Genomic DNA, 18,893 nt, shown 5'->3' on the forward strand with positions numbered 1-18,893 from the left:
CGCCCAGCTAATTTTTGTACCTTTTGTAGGGACGGGGTTTCATCCTGCTGCCCAGGCGGGTCTCGAACTCCCGAGCCCAAGCCATCCTCCCGCCTCGGCCTCCCAAAGTGCTGGGATAACTGGGCCCAACCAGCCTCATGTTTTCCTTAAGCAGTCCCTCCCTGTTGCACACTTGGGTAGTTTCCTTTTTTACTTTTTTAGACAGGGGTTACCTCAGTCTCGAAGGCTGGAGTGCTGTGGTGGGATCACAGCTCATTGGAGCCTTGAACCTTGGGAGTTCAAGTAGCTGGGAAGCTGAGGTGAGACTAAAGAGATGGGGTCGCGCCAGGTTAACAGGCTGCTCTTGGCCTGAAAGGATCCTCCGGCCTCGGCCGCCACCGGACACAGTTTCCTATTTTTGATGGACATACACACTGTGCTGGGTGGGAGTTTATCAACTACCTTTCTGCAGCCAGCAATACAGAGGACCTGGAGAGGAGGTGGCGGTTACCAGGCTCCACTGTCAGAAGACTGACCATCTCCAGGCACTATACCGCCCCTGTGACGTCGCGAAAGACCAGCTCATAGGACTTTTCGAATGGGCGCCTCTGAGACGTCAATGAAGGCGCGCCCCTATGGCGTCACAGAGGACCGACTCTCATACGCAGCCAATCGGAAGTGAAGGCGGGGCTTCTGGGTCTTCCTGGAGTGCGCATACATGGGCCAGCGGCCACAAGAATTACGATTTACCCCATCGTCCTCTGAGCTTTGGGGATGATGGATGAATAAATAGAGGCACAGACAGGTGATCTACCCAGAGCTGATGAGTAACAAGCCTGCTCTCAGGCCGTGTGACTCCTAGATTAGTACTCTTTTTTTTTTTTTTGGAGAGAAAGTCTCACAATCTCGGCTCACTGCAACCTCCACCTCCTGGGTTCAAGTGATTCTACTGCCTCAGCCTCCCAAATAGCTGGGGCTACAGGTGCCTGCCATCACAGATATCTAATTTTTGTATTTTTATTGGAGATGGGGTTTCACTATGTTAGCCAGGCTGGTCTCAAACTCTTGACCTCAGGTGGTCCTCCTGCCTCAGCCTCCCAAGTGCTGGGATTACAGGTGTGAGCCACTGTGCTTGGCTGCTTTTTTTTTTTTTTTTTTCAAAATAGAGATGTTTAGCCAGATGTGGTGGCACAAACCTGTTGTCCCTCCTACTAGGGAGGCTGAGGTGGGAGGATCACTTGAGCCTAGGAGGCAGAGACTGTAGTGAGTCAAGATCATACCAATGCATGTCAACCTGGATGACAGGGTGAGACCCTGTTTAAAAAATAGAAAAGATATGGGGTCTTGCTATGTTGCCTAGGCTGATCTTGAACTCAGCCTCAAGCAATCCTCCTGCCTCAGCCTCCCAAAGTGCTGGGAGTACCGGCATGAGCCGTTGCACCTACCCCTGGGAACTTTTTGCTGGGAGTGGTTTCTCTTATCTGTCCTGGCTTCAGGAGGGCAGGACCCCAAACCAAGGGTTTCTTCAAGTGGACAGCACTTTGGGAATGAAAGTGGGGTCAGTACTTGGTGTGCTGCAGAGGTGGCTATAGCCTACAGGGCCTGCTAGAGCCTAGGACAGCACTTCATGGGGAAAGCTTGGGCCTTACCTGCCCAGGATCTCGTTGGGCTAATAATTGTCATGGAAGTCCTGTGCGGAATGAGAGTCCGGCAGTGCCTCATCCCGGGTCATGCTCAGATCCTCAGCAAGGGAACTCTGGGTGGCTCTGAGAGTGGAACACAAAGAAGCTGTCAGCCCTCCTGACCCAGGGGTTGTTCTTGGGGCCTGGAACTGTTTCTCACTCACCCTTACATCTCCTGGCACCACACTGGCCTACAGTGAATGTTCCAAATAAACGTTTGTGAATTGAGGCCAGGCGTGGTGCCTCACACCTATAATCCCAGCACTGTGGGAGGCTGAGGCAGACAGATCACTTGAGGCCAGGATTTTGAGCCCAGCCTGGCCAACATGGTGAAACCCTATCTCTACTAAAAATACAAAAATTAGCTGGACATGGTGGCTGGCACATGCTTGTAGTCCCAGCTGCTTCAGAGGCTGAGGCAGATTTGCTTGAACCTGGAAGGCAGAGGTTGCAGTGAGCGGAGATCGCGTCACTGCACTCCAACCTGGGAGACATGGCAAGACTCCAGCTCATAAAAAAAAAAAAAGGCTTCTTTGTAGAGATCGGGGTCTTGCTCTGTTACCCAGGCTGCAGTGCAGTGCAACAATCATAGCTTACTGCCGCTACTGCTGCCTCAACCTCCTGGGCTCAAGCTATCCTCACACACTACCCTCCCGAGTAGCTGGGACTAAAGTATGCCCCAGGCTTGAGTGCAGTGGTGCAATCTCGGCTCTCTGCAACCTCCACCTCCCAGGTTCAAGCGATTCTCCTGCCTCAGTCTCCCAAGTAGCTGGAATTATAGGCGCCTGCAACCATGCCCAGCTAATTTTTTGTATTTTTAGTAAAGACAGGGTTTCACCATGTTGGCCAGGCTGGTGTTGAACTCCTGACCTCAGGTGATCTGCCCACCTCAGTCTCCCAGGAAGAAGAAACTGTTGGTCTCATAAGTGTCCCTCAGCTGTACTGAAATGGAAATGGCTAGCTCATCTCAAGTGGCAGGGGAGCCCGGGCAGGGGCAGCTGGGGCACGGGGGTCAGGGACCGAGGCTGCTGTCAGCTAACTTCAAAAGCTGACACGGGAATCAGGAGGGTGCTCAAAGGATGTCAACCCGGGGTGTGGGCAGGCCCAGGATTACAGGTGTGAGCCACTGTGCTTGGCCACTTTTTTTTTTTTTAGTAGAGATGGTTAGCAAGATGTGGTGGCACACACCTGTTGTCCCTCCTACTAGGGAGGCTGAGGTGGGAAGATCACTTGAGCCTAGGAGGCAGAGAGTGTAGTGAGTCAAGATCATACCACTGCATGCTGACATGGATGACAGGGTGAGACCGTGTCTAAAAAATAAAAAAGATATGGGGTCTCGCTATGTTGCCCAGGCTGATCTTGAACTCAGCCTCAAGCAACTTTATTATTATTATTGTTATTATTTTTAGAGACAAGGTCTCACGGTCTCACCCACACTGGAGTGCAATAGTGCAATCATAGCTCACTGCAGCCTCAAACTACTGGGCTCCAGTGATGCTCCTGCCTCAGCCTTCTGAGTGGCTGGGATTACAGGCATGCACCAGCACGCCTGGCTCATTCAGCCCAGGGACATCAAACCCCCATCCCCTCACCTGCAACCATCCCTGCCTGGGACCCCTTCTGTCAAAGCAGTGAGGCTACAGCTGGGAGCCTTGAGCCTGGGTGGTTCTAACTGGCTGTGTGGTGGGGCCACATTCCCTGGCTTGGGCTGTCATGTCAGGGCAGAATCACAGGGGTCACCCCACCGTGGAGCTTGGGGCCCTCACTCACTGATGCTGGGGTGCCCTTAGACCTTGTGCAGGATGTCAACCTCCTTCAGTGTGGCTTCTTGCAGCTCCTGCACCTCCTCGGGGGTGAAGCTGCTTCCACTGGTGACGTCGATGACCTTCACAGCAGGCTCCTGGCTCGTGGGCTTGTGGATGCAGCACCTGACCATACTGCTAATGCCCCTGGGAGTGAAAAGGACAGATGGCCTCAGGGGGCCCCTCACCCCATGGGGAGTCCCAGATTCAAGGCTGCAGCAGACATGTCCTGCCCTTATCTAGAGATTTACACTTTCCCTCAACTTCCTCTGAGCTTTTGGGGATTGTGGATGAATAAATACAGGCACAGATAGGTGATTTGCCCAGAGCTGATCAGTAGAAGCCTGCTCTCAGGCTGTGTGACTCCTAGTTTAGTCATTTTTGGAGAGAAAGTCTTACTCTGTTGCCGAGGCTGCAGTGCGGTGGCACGATCTCGGCTCATGCAACCTCCACCTCCTGTGTTCAAGTGATTCTCCTGCCTCAGCCTCCCGAGTAGCTGGGACTACAGGCGCCTGCCACCACACACATCTAATTTTTGTATTTTTACTGGAGACGGGGTTTTACCATGTTAGCCAGGCTAGTCTCAAACTCTCGACCTCAGGCGGTCCTCCCACCTCAGCCTCCGAAAGTGCTGGGATTACAGGTGTGAACCACTGTGCTGGGCCACTTTTTTTTTTAATAGAGATGGTTAGCAAGATGTGGTGACACATACCTGTTGTCCCTCCTACTAGGGAGGCTGAGGTGGGAGGATCACTTGAGCCTAGGAGGCCTGCAGACTGTAGTGAGTCAAGATCATACCACTGCACGCCAACCTGGATGACAAGGTGAGACCATGTCTAAAAAATAAAAAAGATATGGGGTCTTGCTGTGTTGCCCAGGCTGATCTTGAACTCAGCCTCAAGGAATACTCCCGCCTCAGCCTCCCAAAGTGCTGGGAGTACAGGCATGAGCCATTGTACCTGTCCATGGGAGCAGTTCTTGAGCACACTGAATTCTGCTTTTTCCTAGCTTTAATGAATGTCTAGTTCTTCCTTTTTAGGTGCAGTGTATGTCAGCATTGTTTCAGTAATAAATGCATTCTAGATCTTAGAAATAATATTGGTCACAGGTGCCAGGTGCAGTGGCTCACTCCTGTAATCCCAACACTTTGGAAGGCTGAGGCAGACAGATCATGAAGTCAGGAGTTCAAGACCAGCCTGGCCAATATGGTGAAACCCTGTCTCTACTAAACATACAAAAATTAGCCAGGTGTTGTGGCAGGTGCCTGTCATCCCAGCTACTCAGGAGGCTGAGCTAGGAGAATCGCTGGAACCTGGGAGGCAGAGATTGCAGTGAGCCAGGATCACACCATTGCACTCCAGCATGGGCAACAAGAGCAAAACTCCAGCTGAAGAAAAAAAACAAAAGAAATATCCCATTACTTTAAGGCAATGTAGATACAGCCAGAATTTCTACAGAAATCTGAACCACATTATAAAGCCAGAAAAACATACCAGCTAATATTATTTAATACATATAGCACTAAATGGAAGAGGTAATATTTTCTTTTAATTTTTTTTTTTTTTTGAGATGGAGCCTCACCCTGTCACCCAGGATGGAATGCAGTGGCAGGATCTTGGCTCACTGCAACCTCGACCTGCCAGGTCCAAGCAATTCTCCTGTCTCAGCCTCCCGACTAGCTGGGACTATAGGCACCTGACACCATGCCTTCCTAATTTATGTATTTTTGTAGAGACGGGGTTTCATCGTATTGGTCAGGCTGGTCCTGAACTCCTGACCTCAGGAGCTCCGTCCACCTCAGCCTCCCAAAGTGCTGGGATTACAGGCATGAGCCACCATGCCTGGCCAGAAAAGGTAATATTTTCCAAACATATACATTAGTGTATAACCTTATTAGACTTATAAATATGATTTTTTTCAGTAACAGAAGAAGATTCTCCTGAACTGTATCATTTCAGCTAACATTTACTTAAAATTAAAATAATATAACAGCTATAAAAAGTCAAGAGGCACCCAGGCGCAGTGGCTCATGCCTGTAACCCAAACACTTTGGGAGGCCGAGGCAGGTGAATCACCTGAGGTCAGGAGTTTGAGACCAGCCTGGCCAACATGGTAAAACCCCATCTCTACTAAAAATACAAAAATTAGCCACGCATGGTGGTAATCACTTGTAGTCCCAGCTACTAGGGAGGCTGTGATGGGAGGATCACTTGAACCTGAGTGGTGAAGGCTGCAGTGAGCTATGATTGCACCACTGCACTCCAGCCTGGGTGACAGAGCAAGACTCTGTTTCAATGAAAAAAATGAAACAGTCAAGAGCATGGAGAGTATTAAATTCAGACATAACCAATGGTCTATCATCAGAATAGCTCCATTTTTTTTGCTATCATTATGTGTTAAGGTCAATTTGCTAAACACGAATATTTGTACTAAAGTTTTAAGTGTACCATATAATACATTAAGGCTGACTTAGGTTTAACATCCTTTGCTGTACAATATACTTGAATATAATACTTATATATCACAACAAAAGTATCTTTCCCTAAGGCAATTACCATTAATACTGCTTTAAAGTTATAAAATGTGGGCTGAGGGGTGGCTCACACCTGTAATCCCAGCACTTTGGGAGTCCGAGGCAGGCAGATCACAACGTCAAGAGATTAAGACCATCCTGGCCAACATGGTGAAACCCCATCTCTACTGAAGTACAAAAATTACCTGGGCGTGGGACGCACCCCTGTAGTCCCAGCAACTTGGGAGGCTGAGGCAGGAGAATCTCTTGAATCTGGGAGGCGGACGTTGTGGTGAGCTGAGATTGCAACTCCAGCCTGAACAAGTGCAAAACTTTGTCTCAAAAAAAATATGAAATGTGAAGATTGTTTTTATAATTTTCAACACCTGCACATTACTGTCTTTAAACTAATCTAACAAATCACCATCACAACAAAAGCCCCACAAGATAATCTGTTTCACCTTATAAAAAGCACTGACAGTTACTGTGTGGTAATTTGTTGCAGTAGCCACGGAAACTAGTATTGTACTGAAGCCTCAACACCCACTTGAAGGGGCTGGGCATGGTGGCTCATGCCCGTAATCCCAGCACTTTGTGAGGCCCAGGTGGGTGGATCACTTGAGGTCAGGAATTGGAGACCAGCCTTGCCAACATGGTAAAACCCCGTCTCTAAAAAAAATACAAAAATTAGCTGGGGGTGGTGGCACATGCCTATAATCTCAGCTACTCAGGAGGCTGAGACATGGGAACTGTTTGAACCCAGGGTGGGGCGGAGTTTGCAGTGAGCCAAGATTGTGCCACTGCACCCCAGCCTAGGTGACAGAGTGAGGCTCTATCTCAACAACAACAACAAAAACCCCACCTGGTTCTGCCCCACTCTCCCTCTCACGAAGTTGGAATCCCTCACTACTTTTCAGTAGAGGAGAGTGTGTACCCCAATCTCAGCTTGATATGATTCAGATCTCCATTTAACTCATTAAACCTGGCTGATCCTCAAGCCCTGGGGAAAAAAAGGGTCTCTCTGTGAGTATGATACAGGACAGGTCTGTCCCCAGGACCCTGGGAGAGGGAAGCCCAATGGCCCACCAGGTTGGCAGGGCTGGGGAAGGGAAAGTGTTATGGTAGCCCAAGACTAAAAAGAGGCAGCAGTGGGAGCAGGACATCACTCCCATTGAACTCATGATGCTGCTGCCTGAGTGAGGTGAGGGAGGAGTGCACCCGAGTGATGTGATGGGGCAGAGAGGCACGGTTCCAGGGCAGCTTTCACCCTTACTTCCTGCCATGTTACTCTGATCCCCTGCAGGTGAGCCTGCCCACTTTTGGCTTAGGGCTGCTGCTGGGGCCTGTACTCAAATGCAGCCCCCCATTGCCATGGCTACAGGAGTGGGGCAGAGCAGGGAGTGGGACAGAGGAGAGGCCGGGGCAGGAGGGAGTGGGCCTCAAACTCCAGGAGGGGGCCCTTCTCATGGGTTCTCTTTTCCGGCCTCTTCTTCCTTACCCCTGGGCTGATCACCTGGGGAAGAACTGAGGCAAGCTTTCTCATCCTCAGGTCTGAGGGGTTCAATTACCAGGCCCAAGTAGCTGGGATTACAGGCATGCACCACCACACCTGGCTAATTTTGCATTTTTAGTAGAGTCAGGGTTTCTCCATGTTGGTCAGGCTGGTCTCGAGCTCCTGACCTCAGCTGATCCACCCACCTCGGCTTCCCAAAGTGCTGGGATTACAGGCGTGAGCCACCACGCCAGGCCGAACACGTTCTTATTCTATTAAATAGCATAACCCAGGCAGGGCACAGTGGCTCACGCCTGTAATCCCTACAAGTCTAAAGGCCAAGGTGAGAATATCAGTAACCCGGAGTTTGAGACTGGCCTGGGCAACACAGCGAGACCCCCATCGCTACAAAAAAATACAAAAATCAGGCCAGGTGTGCACCGCCCCCAGCTAATTTTTGTACCTTTTGTAGAGACGGGGTTTTGTCATGTTGCCCAGGCTGGTCTCGAACGCCGGAGCCCAAGCCATCCTCCTGCCTCGGCCTCCCAAAGTGCTGGGATAAGTGGGCCCAACTAGCCTCATGTTTTCTTTAAGCAGTCCCTCCCTGTTGCACACTTGGATAGTTTCCTTTTTTACTTTTTTAGACAGGGGTTACCTCAGTCTCGCAGACTGGAGTGTTGTGGTGGGATCATAGCTCATTGGAGCCTTGAACCTTGCGGGGTTCAAGTAGCTGGGAAGCTGAGGTGGGACTAAAGAGATGGGGTCGCGCCAGGTTAACAGGCTGCTCTTGGCCCGAAAGGATCCTCTCGCGTCCGCCGCCACCGGACACAGTTTCCTATTTTTGACGGACATACACACTGTGCTGGGTGGGAGTTTGTCAACTACCCTTCTCCAGCCAGGAATACACAGGACCTGGAGAGGAGGTCGCGGTTACCAGGCTCGACTCTGAGGAGACTGACCAGCTCCAGGTACTATACCGCCCCTGTGACGTCGCTGAAAGCGCGCGTCTGTGGCGTCGCGGAAGGCCAGCGTGTATGACGTTGTCGAAGGCGCGCCTCTGAGACGTCACCGAAGTCGCGCCCTAAGGCGTCACCGAAGTCGCGCCCTAACACGTCACCGAGGGCGCGCCCCTATGGCGTCACATCGGACCGACCGCCACGCGCAGCCAATTGGAACTCGAGGCGGGGCTGCTGGGTCTTCCTGGAGCGCGCATGCGCCGGCGAGCTGCCACAAGGTTTACACTTTCCCCCATCTTCCTCTGTGCTTTTGGGGATGGTGGATGAATCAATACAGGCAAAGACAGGTGATTTGCCCAGAGCTGATGACTAACAGGCCTGCTCTCAGGCCTTATGACTCCTAGTTTAGGGCTTTTTTTTTTTTTTTTGAGAGAAAGTCTCACTCTTGTCACCCAGGCTGCAGTGCAGTGGCATGATCTCCGATCACTGCAACCTCCACCTCCTGGGTTCAAGCGATTCTCCTGCCTCAGCCTCCCGAGTAGCTGCGACTACCGGTGCCTACCACCACAGACGTCTAATTTTTGTATTTTTATTGGAGACGGAGTTTCACCATGTTGTCTAGGCTAGTCTGGAACTCCTGACCTCAGGTTATCCTCCTGCCTCAGCCTCCCAAAGTGCTGAGATTACAGGTGTGAACCACTGTGCTGCGCCGCTATTTTTTTTTTTTTTTGATAGAGATGGTTAGCCAGATGTGGTCGCACACACCTGTTGTCCCTCCTACTAGGGAGGCTGAGGTGAGAGGATCACTTGAGCCTAGGAGGCAGAGACTGTAGTGAGTCAAGATCATACCACTGCACGCCAACTTGGAGGCAGGAGGATTGCCTGAGGCCAGGAGTTCGAGCCAGCCTCGGCAGCATAATGAGATTCCATCTCTGTAAAAAATAAAATTTAGCCAAGTGTGGTAGCGTGCACCTGTGGTCCCAGCTACTCGGAAGGCAAAGGCGAGGATTGCTTGAGTCCTGGAGGTTGAGGCTGCAGTGAGCTATAATTGCGCCATTCCAGCCTGGGAGACAGGGTGAGATTCTGTCTCAAAAAAAGAAAAAATAATAATAAAACTGTGGGGGAAGGACACTCAAACCCCCTACGGGAAGCAAGGCTTCCTCATTCCATCATATTCTGCTCATCCTCCAAGGCTCGGCTAAGGGGCCTGCCTCTCCAAGAAACTTCCCAGCCCTCAGCCCCCTTCCTTCCTGTTTTCGCAGCACTGGTGTCACCTCGTCCTGCCCAACTATGTAGCGTGCAGGCCTCCATCTTCCACATGACTGCAGAACCAGAGAGCTCTGGTGGTATCTGGTTCCATGTGTCCCCACTGGCACCTCGCCTGGGACGTTGTCTGCACTGACCAGTGCTAGCAATCAAAATAGCAGGCATGCCTGACCATGTGCTGAGGCTCAGTAGGCAGCACTGGTCAGCTATGATTTCAGCTCAGCCTCTAGCATCCCGCTGGGGTAGCTTAATAATCCCTGGATTTCACAGATGGAAAATGTTAGGAAAGTCTCTAAGCCCCCATGGAAGGTCCCAGAGCCCAAATTCAAACCCAAGTGGAACGTTCCTCTGCTTCACTGTGATCTGGTGTGAATTTTAACCTAAGGTCCTGGCATTTAAGAGCTCGAAGTCACCACGGAGGTGGAGAGCTCAGCCCTGACATTGGATGGAAGCTGAGACTGGTGAGGTTCTCACCGGGACTTTTGCAGGGAGTTGGGGAGAATTCTGAAGGCGGTACAGATGTTCTGACCCCAAGACCGTCTCCTCCAGCTGGACCACACACTTGTTTCCTGCTCCTACACCTGTCCATCCCACCCCTTGGATTCTAGGTGTACAGAGGGGTGGGCACATGCTAAGGTCACCCCTGTTAGCCTCATGGACAAGGTGGGCCTGGAGCAGGAACCCACCTGATAGAAGACACCTGAAGTCTGTCCATACACACTCAGTGTGGGCATCACTTGCACATAGGTGCAGCTTTTGCTCTGGGAAACCACTTTAAATGAATTGATGGCCTCACCACGGTGGAGACATGGCTTGACTCCGGAGAGACTCCATTGTAGATAAATATTTGAGTAAAAGGTTTCATGTTAGAATAGCATCTGCATGCAAATGACAGGCAATGGGCGGGTGCAATGGCTCACACCTGTAATCCCAGCTACTTGAGAGGCAGAGGCAAGAGGATCGCTTGAGCCCACGAGTTTGAGACCAGCCTGGATGACATGGTAAGACCCCATCTCTAAAAAACAAAACAAAAAAAATGTTTAAATTAGCAGGGCATGGTAGTCCCTGTAGAGGAAGCTACTCAGGAAGCTGAGGCGAGAGGATTGCTTGAGCCCAGGAGTTGAAGGCAGTAGTGAGCTATGATTGTGCCACTGCATTCCAGCCTGGGCAACAGAGCCAGACCCCATCTCCATCTCTTTTTTTGGAGATGGAATCTCGCTCATCCCCCAGGTGGAGTGCAGTGGTGAGATCCAGGTTCACTGCAACCTCCTTCTCCCAGGTTCAAGCAATTCTCCTGCCTCACCCTCTGGAGTAGCTTGGATTACAAGTGCCCACCACCACGCCTGGCTAATGTCTGTATTTTTAGTAGAGACGGGGTTTCACCATGTTGGCCAGGCTGGTCATGAACTCCTGACCTCAAGTGACGCACTCACCTTGGCCTCCCAAAGTGCTGGGATTGCAGGCATGAGCCACTGCGCCCGACCCAGACTCCAACTCTTTAAAACAAAAAAGTACCTGAGGTAAATGGGGAAAACACTTGTGAGACAAGACCAAAACCTACAGTGGCTGCTAAATGTCAGTTCTATGAGCCCAGGATTCTCCTACATCCCCTTCCATGGTCAGGGAGGACCACTGGGCTATGTGTCTTCTGTGATTCTCCCCTGGCTCTGAGCCCTTTGCATCTGCACCTCACAGCGCCGCTCAAATCCCTGGGGGTAAAGTGCAGTGGCAGATGTTGGCCAGTTGTAGTCTGATAAGATAAAAGCCACAGGAGAGTTCTGAAATTCTCTTTTCCTCTCGAGTATGTATTTCTGCATCTTTACGGAGCCTCGTAAATGCTTTTTAAACCTACCCTGGGATTTGAACCAGCGCCCATAGACACAGAAGTCTTGTCAGGTCAGCCAGGGGCTGCTACTGAGGCAGCATCTCTCCCTAGCCCCCGACCCACAGGTTCAGAAGGGAAACCCTTCCCTCAGGCGGCTTATGAGACCCAGTACTTCTAGTTTCACTTCTTTAAAAACACCGTACAAAAGAAAAAGGCTGTCAAAACACAAGCAGTGTTTGAAACGAAGCTTTGTAGGTCCCCCTGCACTACCACCATCATGGGCAGCATAGCAGATGGGTTCTGGGACACCAGCTAAAATGTGTGCAAGAGAAACCAGGGCTCATGGCAGACGTGTGTTTCTCTGTTTTGTTGACCAACTTCTGCTAGAATTCATAGCCATCTAGCCTATGTATTGGATTTTTATTTCTGTGACGTCTGCATCTTTTAAAAATATCAGTTGGGGCCAAGGTGGGTGGATCACTTGAGGTCAGGAGTTCAAGACCAACCTGGCCAACATGGCCAAACCCTGTCTACTAAAAATATAAAAATTAGCTGGGCATGGTGGTGTGTGCCTGTAATCTCAGCTACTTGGGAGGCTGAGGCAGGAGAATCACTTGAACTGGGAGCCAGAGGCTGCAGTGAGCTGAGATCGTGCTTCTGCACTCTAGCCTGGGTGGCAGAGTGAGAGTCCAAATAAAAAATAATAATAATAATTTAAAAAATCAATCAGTAGCCAAGCACCATGGCATATACCTATAGTCCCAGCCACTTGGGAGGCTGGAGGATCACTTGAGTTCAGGAGTTCAAGACCAGCCTGGGCAACATAGCAAGCCCTCATCTCTACAAAAAATAAAAAATTAGCAGGGCATGGTGGCACATGTCTGTAGTCCCAGATCCTCGGGAGGCAGGAGGATTTCTTGAGCCTAGGAGTTCAAGGCAAACCTGGGTGACATAGTGAGATTCCATTTCAAAAATATGTATCAGTAGGTTAATCCAGATGTTGTCACATGGGCCAAGCAACCAAAGTCACATCTTAGAGTTGTGGACTGTGTAATCAGATAAGTGTGGCTACAGTCACAGAAGGTCAGGGTAGAAAGAGGCTTGGAGAGGGGCACACTTCTAGCCAGAGCTTTCCTACTGAGCTCCTTAAAGCTCAGGGGAAAGTGGGACAGGGTTGGGGGGCGACCTAAATCCCACACCCTCCCATCTTCAACCAGAGCAACCCCATTTGTATCTGCTCAGCAGTATCATGCATCCATGTAAAATTTTATTTGAAAATGGCCTTCTGCAATTAAAACTACAAAAAAAGATTGAAAGTGGCCAACTTAAACTCCACTCTGTTTCTTTTTTGATTTGGGAGACTGGTGTGCACAGAAGGGAAGTGTCACCTAATGAAACTGTAACCTCACCACAGATGCCTGCCCATGGCTGGTGGAGCTCCCAAGGCCTGGGCCACACCCTATGTGCCCCATGCCCAGCAAGTGGAGGGGGGTGTGGTCAGTACATGTTTGTAAGATAAAGAAAAACATGCTTCCCAATCAGCCATATTACCCAGAGGGCGATATTGATTTAGATCTTATTTCAGCTTGGCTACAGAGGCTCAGGTGCCAGTGAGCAGAAGTCTGGCCATTGTGGTGGATTCTGGAAGATAATGTGCTATACTATTAGCAGGGGTGCAATTTGGGGTGTGAGACCACCAGAGCTTTGATTCCCCCTGCCACACTTGTATTATTTGGAGTTGTTTTGTTGTTGTTCATGGTAATTACCTATGATTAGACAACAATCTAGTTCCATTTGCAATAGGGAATAATATGTCTGTGACACTCACAGCCTCTAGACCTGGGGAACCTCTGGCCACCCCGAGGGGGCCCGGTCATCCTGCTGCTGGTCATGTCCAGCTCCGGGTGGCTGGCTAGGTGGCCTGGGTGGGAGGTCCACTCTTTGTCTTTATAAAAAGAAGGGCTTGGGCCAGGCATGGTGGCTCATGCCTGTAATCCCAGCACTTTGGGAGGCCAAGGAAGGTGGATCACCTGAGGTCGGGAGTTCAAGACCAGCCTGACCAACATAGCAAAACCCCGTCTTTACTAAAAAATACAAAAATTAGCTGGGCATGTGGTGGGTTCCTGTAATCCGAGCTACTCGGGAGGCTGAGGCAGGAGAATTGCTTGAACCTGGGAGGCAGAGGTTGCAGTGAGCCGAGATTGCACCACCGCACTCTAGCCTGGGCAACAGAGTGAGACTCCATCTCATAAATAAACAAATAAATAAATAAGATAACAAGGTGTGCTGGAGATGGCCACAGGCCTGTGGCAGCCGCGCCATCAGGGAAATGGAGTCAGAGAGAGCTGCAGCTGCTCTGATAGGGAGGTGGGTGTGTGCAGGATCCTCTGGGGGTGGCTCAGGCCTCCCAGGGGAGCACTTACCTTTTTATTTCCTAGTATGTCAGAACTGCTGATGCAGGAATAAAGCAAAGTGCCTGCCACTCCACGCGACTGCCGTTTTTTCATTCATTCATGTATTCGTTCTTCCTTTACGCATGCATGGCAGATTAACAAAAGGGCCTCCACAAACTAGCCAGGTGGCGTCCATGGGTTTTTAGCCTCTCTGAGCAGGTTTGACAGGGCTGCTTTTTCCTTTCCCTCACTCTGACTTCTGTCCCAGCCTCTTCCATTTAATATCAGCCCTTGTTCCTACACTACACCTCCCGATGCAGACTGGGACATTCTCAGGCTGTGTTTGAGCCACCCCTTCATCCTCTGTGCTTTTCCCTGGCATCCTCAGCTCCCCTCTCCCCATCATGGTGCTCCTGGGCTGTTCCCAGAGCTCCTGTTACTCTCTCTGTCCTCCCAACCCCAAACCCGTCCAGCTGTGTATCCACCTGCCCAGCTGCCATTCATGCTGCAGATGTAGCACTCTCAGAGCCCATCTGTCTCCACTCACTCAGGCATCCTACCTCCTACTCCTGGTGGTGGCCGCAGTGCCCACTGGGCCACCCCAGCCAAGCCCAAGAGTAGCCACATGGGAGCCCTTCCTCCATCTCCCCTTCCTCATTCACACATTACCACATCTTGCCAATTTCATCTCCTGAGGACCTCACCTTCCATCATTCTCTCCCCATCATACCACAGTTGCCACCTTTATTTCTCTCCTAGACCTCAGCTGGTGTTACTTGGACAGTCATTTCGTTGGAACCTCCTGGCCAGCTTTGCACACATTTAACTAGACTAAGATTTGAGACCAGGCATGGTGGCTTATGCCTCTAATCCCAACACTTTGGGAGGCCAAGGCAGGCAGATCCCCTGAGGTTAGGAGTTTGAGACCTACCTGGGCAACATGGTAAAACCTCCTCTCTACTAAAAATACAAAAATTAGCCAGGTGGGGTAGCACACACCTGTAATCCCACTTACTCGGGTGGCTGAGGCAAGAGAATTGAACCTGGGAGGCAGAGGCTGCCGTGAGCCAAGATCACACTACCACACTCCACCCTGGGTGACAGAGTGAGACTCCATCTCAAACAACAACAACAAAAAAGAAGATTTGAGCTCCCTTCTCAGATCCGTGCCTCTCGACCTGGGCTGAAGGCTTCTACTCTCTCTGGCGTCACCTTCAGGAACCTGCTTGTTACTTCCCTCCTAAGAATGTTCCAGAAGGTCTTGGTTTATCTTCTGGAGGGCATTCAAGAACTCAGAGTCATCTCACATGTCTAGAAGAGAAATATTAAGGCCAGGCACAGTGGCTCAAACCTGTAATTTCAGTACTTTGGAAGGCTGAGGCAGGAGGATCACTTGAGCCCAGGAGTTCAAGACCAGCTTGGACAACATAGCAAGATCTCATCTCAAAAAAAAAAAAATTAGCCAGGCATGGTGGCACATGCCTGTAGTCTCAGCTATTTAGAAGGCTGAGATGGGAGGATCATTTGAGCCCAGGAAGTCAAGTGCAGTGAGCTGTGACAGTGCCACTGCACTCCAGCCTGGGCAACAGAACAAGATCCTGTCTCCAAATTTAAAAAGGGAGAGAGAAACAGAAACATGGCAGCTTGGAAACCTGGCTGGGGGTGATTGTGGGGAACTGCTGCTGATGGGCTCTCAGGCACACCCCCCACTCCAGCCATTTTGCCTGGCTGCCTTAGGAACCCTCCTCATACTCTCCTGAGAGTCCCCTCCAGGCAGTCATGGCTCACTTATCCCTGCCACGTGAACTCCATAAAGGAGTCTCGGTAGAAACCCACAGAAACTGTTCCCAGTCACAAAGCATGCCAGGTGCATCCTGTTCTTTCTGTCATTTAAAAAAATGAATGTGTCTCTATCTCTCCTTCTTATAAAACAGTACCCTCTCACACTGCGTGGCTTGAATTCTGGTCTTACTTATGCCTTTGGATTCAATGGCCTTCATCAAATGTCTACAAGGCAAGGGCAATTTACAATAAACATTGTCGGAACTTCACTTAGCAATGTACTTGGGAAATAAATTTTGGTCACTAAATAGAGAAACAAATGCAACAAATAATCCCACAGATCATTATAACATATCTTTTAGATGGTAGTTGTCAAGGATTAGAGTTCCTCGCCCAAAACTGTTGTTGGTGTTTGGAAGCGTCCAAACATTGGCTGGCCCATGTCCCACGGGGCATCAGCACAGCACCCTGGTGAGCAGAGAGTTGTGTGTATGGGGACTAAGCAGAGTGGTAGGCAGTTTGCAGGAAGCTTACCAATGCTTATTAATATTTACCAAAGAGATGCAGAACCGGCCATGGTGGCTCACGATAGTCATCCCAGCACTTTGGGAGGCTGAGGTGGGCAGATCACAAGGTCAGGAGTTCGAGACCATCCTGACCAAAATTGTGAAACTCCATCTCTAATAAAAATACAAAAATTAGCCAGGCATGATGGTGCACACCTGTAGTTCCAGCTACTCAGGAGGCTAAGGCAGGAGAATCGCTTGAACCCGGGCGGCGGAGGTTGCAGTGAGCTGAGATCACACCAACTGCACTCCAGCCTGGGCAACAAAGAGTGAAACTCCATCTAAAAACAAACAAAAAAAGAGATGCAGGACCATCTGCATATGGTACATTTTGGTGATAATATCTGACCTTCTGGGAGAAGAGATATGTTACATATGTTACATTTGTTACAAGAGAATGTCTTACCCCACCCCCACGGACCCAGAAAGGGTCCTTCTGGGAGAAGAGATATGTTACGTATGTTACTTTCGTTACAAGAGAATGTCTTACCCCACCCCCACGGACCCAGAAAGGCGTGCACATGTGGATGGCAGGAGAGTGACTGCAGATACTTCCTGTGTTGCTATCCTTTGCTCCAGGTGGGTACTGGTCACAGGCACAGGCCAGAAGGCTCCCCAGAGTCTGATCCTGTCTCAAACCCAGCTGGCTATCCTGCAACCCCCAACCCACTGGTCTTTGGGAGTGGACAACAGCCCACGTCTCCAGGTGGCCGGGCCCCCTGTGCAGGCATGTTATAGCAAGTTGTGTTTTTCTGGTTTGTCTGTGCCCAACATGGTGTGACCATGGAGGGGACACTGAACAGACCTGGGGGTGGTGGTACTGAGGCAGAGGCAGGCGCACAGTTGTTTCCAAGGGAGAAAATGAATTCATGATCTAAAATGCAAAACCTTAATTATGCTTGACTCCCCTCCCTCCCTCATTTCTCTCTCTCCCTCCCTCCATCCATCCTTCCCACGTTTCCTTCCCTCCCTCTTTTCCTTCCCTCCCTCCCTTCCTTCCTCTCTTCCTCCCACCCTTTATTGACCTTCTTTCATTTTGCAACTTTGTCAAATACAGCTCCAGACTGTCTTCTCTTTCTCCTCTGCTCTGGCCACACACATGCCCTTCCACCCTGTGTCTGCCCATAGAAATCTCGCATCCCTTCCAGTATTCCTGCGCACCGTGGCCTCTGTTAGGAGATTCCTGTGCAGTCTCCTAGCAGGGCAGCCCTTCTGGGAATTGCTCCCTGGTGCTCGTGTGCACTCCATCCCAGCCCTTAGAGCTGCTTTCCTGGCTTTTGTCTCGTGTCCTCTGACCACCTATCAGGGCCTGTCCATGGGGCTGTGTCTGCATGGGAGCAGCCCCAAACACAGTCCTTGTCAGCACCCCGATCTGGACCTGAATTGGGCCCTTGTGCTCACTACCTGTGGACCAAAGACAAATCAGGTTCTCCCCATCCCCAGAGTGGGGAAAGCAGTAGTGTGGGCCTCCCTGGGGTCCCCACGACAGTGTAATGAGTACGGGCACGGAGCCTGCTGCATGTCTCTATGGACATTTCCATAACTTTTCTTTTTTTTTTTTTCTCTGAGATGGAGCCTTGCCCTGTCACCCAGGCTGGAGTGCAGTGGCACAATCATGGCTCCCTGCAACCTCCACCTCCCGGGTTCAAGAGATTCTCCTGCCCCAGCCTCTCGAGTAGCTAGGATTACAGGTGCCCACCACCAAGCCTGGCTAATTTTTGTATTTTTAGTACAGACGGGGTTTCACCAGGTTGGTGAGCCTGGTCTCAAACTCCTGAACTCAAATTATCCTCCTGCCTCAGCCTCCCAAAGTGCTGGGATTACAGGCATGAGCCACAGCGCCCAGCTAAGTTTTCAGTTTATAAACACTAATACCTACTTGTGTCCCATGGCCTCATCTCAGCCATGTGAGGCTGATGTTGTGCCCATTGTACAGATGGCAGAGCAGGCTCAGGTTCAGGAAGCTGCTGGAAGCCACCCAACCATGAGGTGCAGAGCACAACATCTGGGACAGGGTCTTCGCGACAGCTCTTGGGATCCTGTCTTCTCATGATTGTGATCTCAGAGAGCTTTCACTGTTGGATCAGAGGCTGACTCCAGACTCCACCCCAGTGTTGCTGGGCCCTGTGGGCACCGACAGAGCAGTCCTTGCTGGCCTGACTCATATTCCTGAGTCTCAGGGGTTCCTGTGCCACCAGAGAATGAGCTCCCCAAGTGTCAGTCACTTGGTTCAGTGCCTGTATCTTAAACTGGGCACCTTCAGCAAAAGTCCAGTGTGGAGCTATGTACCCTCCTGCCACAGCCCAGGATCTAGCACAGAGCTGGGTACTGTGCCATCATAAGCCTCCATAAAGACTGCTGTAGGCATCGCAGTGCAGATGGCAGGACTGTGCCTGGGCTGCAGGCGCACATTTGCTGGGTGTGTGCAGTGCAGATTGCAGGGCTGTGCCCGGGATGCAGGCACACATTTACCAGGTGTGTGCAGTGTGGATGGCAGGGCTGTGCCTGGGCTGCAGGTACACATTTACCAGGTCTGTGCAGTGTGGGTGGCAGGACTGTGCCCAGGCTGCAGGTACACATTTACCAGGTGCGTGCAGTGTGAATGGCAGGGCTGTCATGGGCCGCAGCTGCACATGTA

At 50.8% G+C, this 18,893-nt stretch overlaps 1 pseudogene across 1 annotated transcript; it reads right to left on the reverse strand.

Moving 5' to 3' along the window:
• Positions 1-1,444: 1,444 nt before the first annotated feature.
• On the reverse strand, positions 1,445-8,206 carry LOC100130849 (phosphorylase kinase catalytic subunit gamma 1 pseudogene; annotated as a pseudogene). Its single transcript, NR_038450.1, has 5 exons — positions 8,123-8,206; positions 6,182-6,291; positions 3,432-3,610; positions 1,629-1,745; positions 1,445-1,518 (listed from the first exon to the last, which is right to left on the reverse strand). The product of NR_038450.1 is annotated as a phosphorylase kinase catalytic subunit gamma 1 pseudogene (transcript).
• Positions 8,207-18,893: the final 10,687 nt, after the last annotated feature.

Source organism: Homo sapiens, chromosome 7 (genome assembly GCF_000001405.40).
Source record: "Homo sapiens chromosome 7, GRCh38.p14 Primary Assembly".
Classification (NCBI taxonomy): Eukaryota; Metazoa; Chordata; class Mammalia; order Primates; family Hominidae; genus Homo; species Homo sapiens.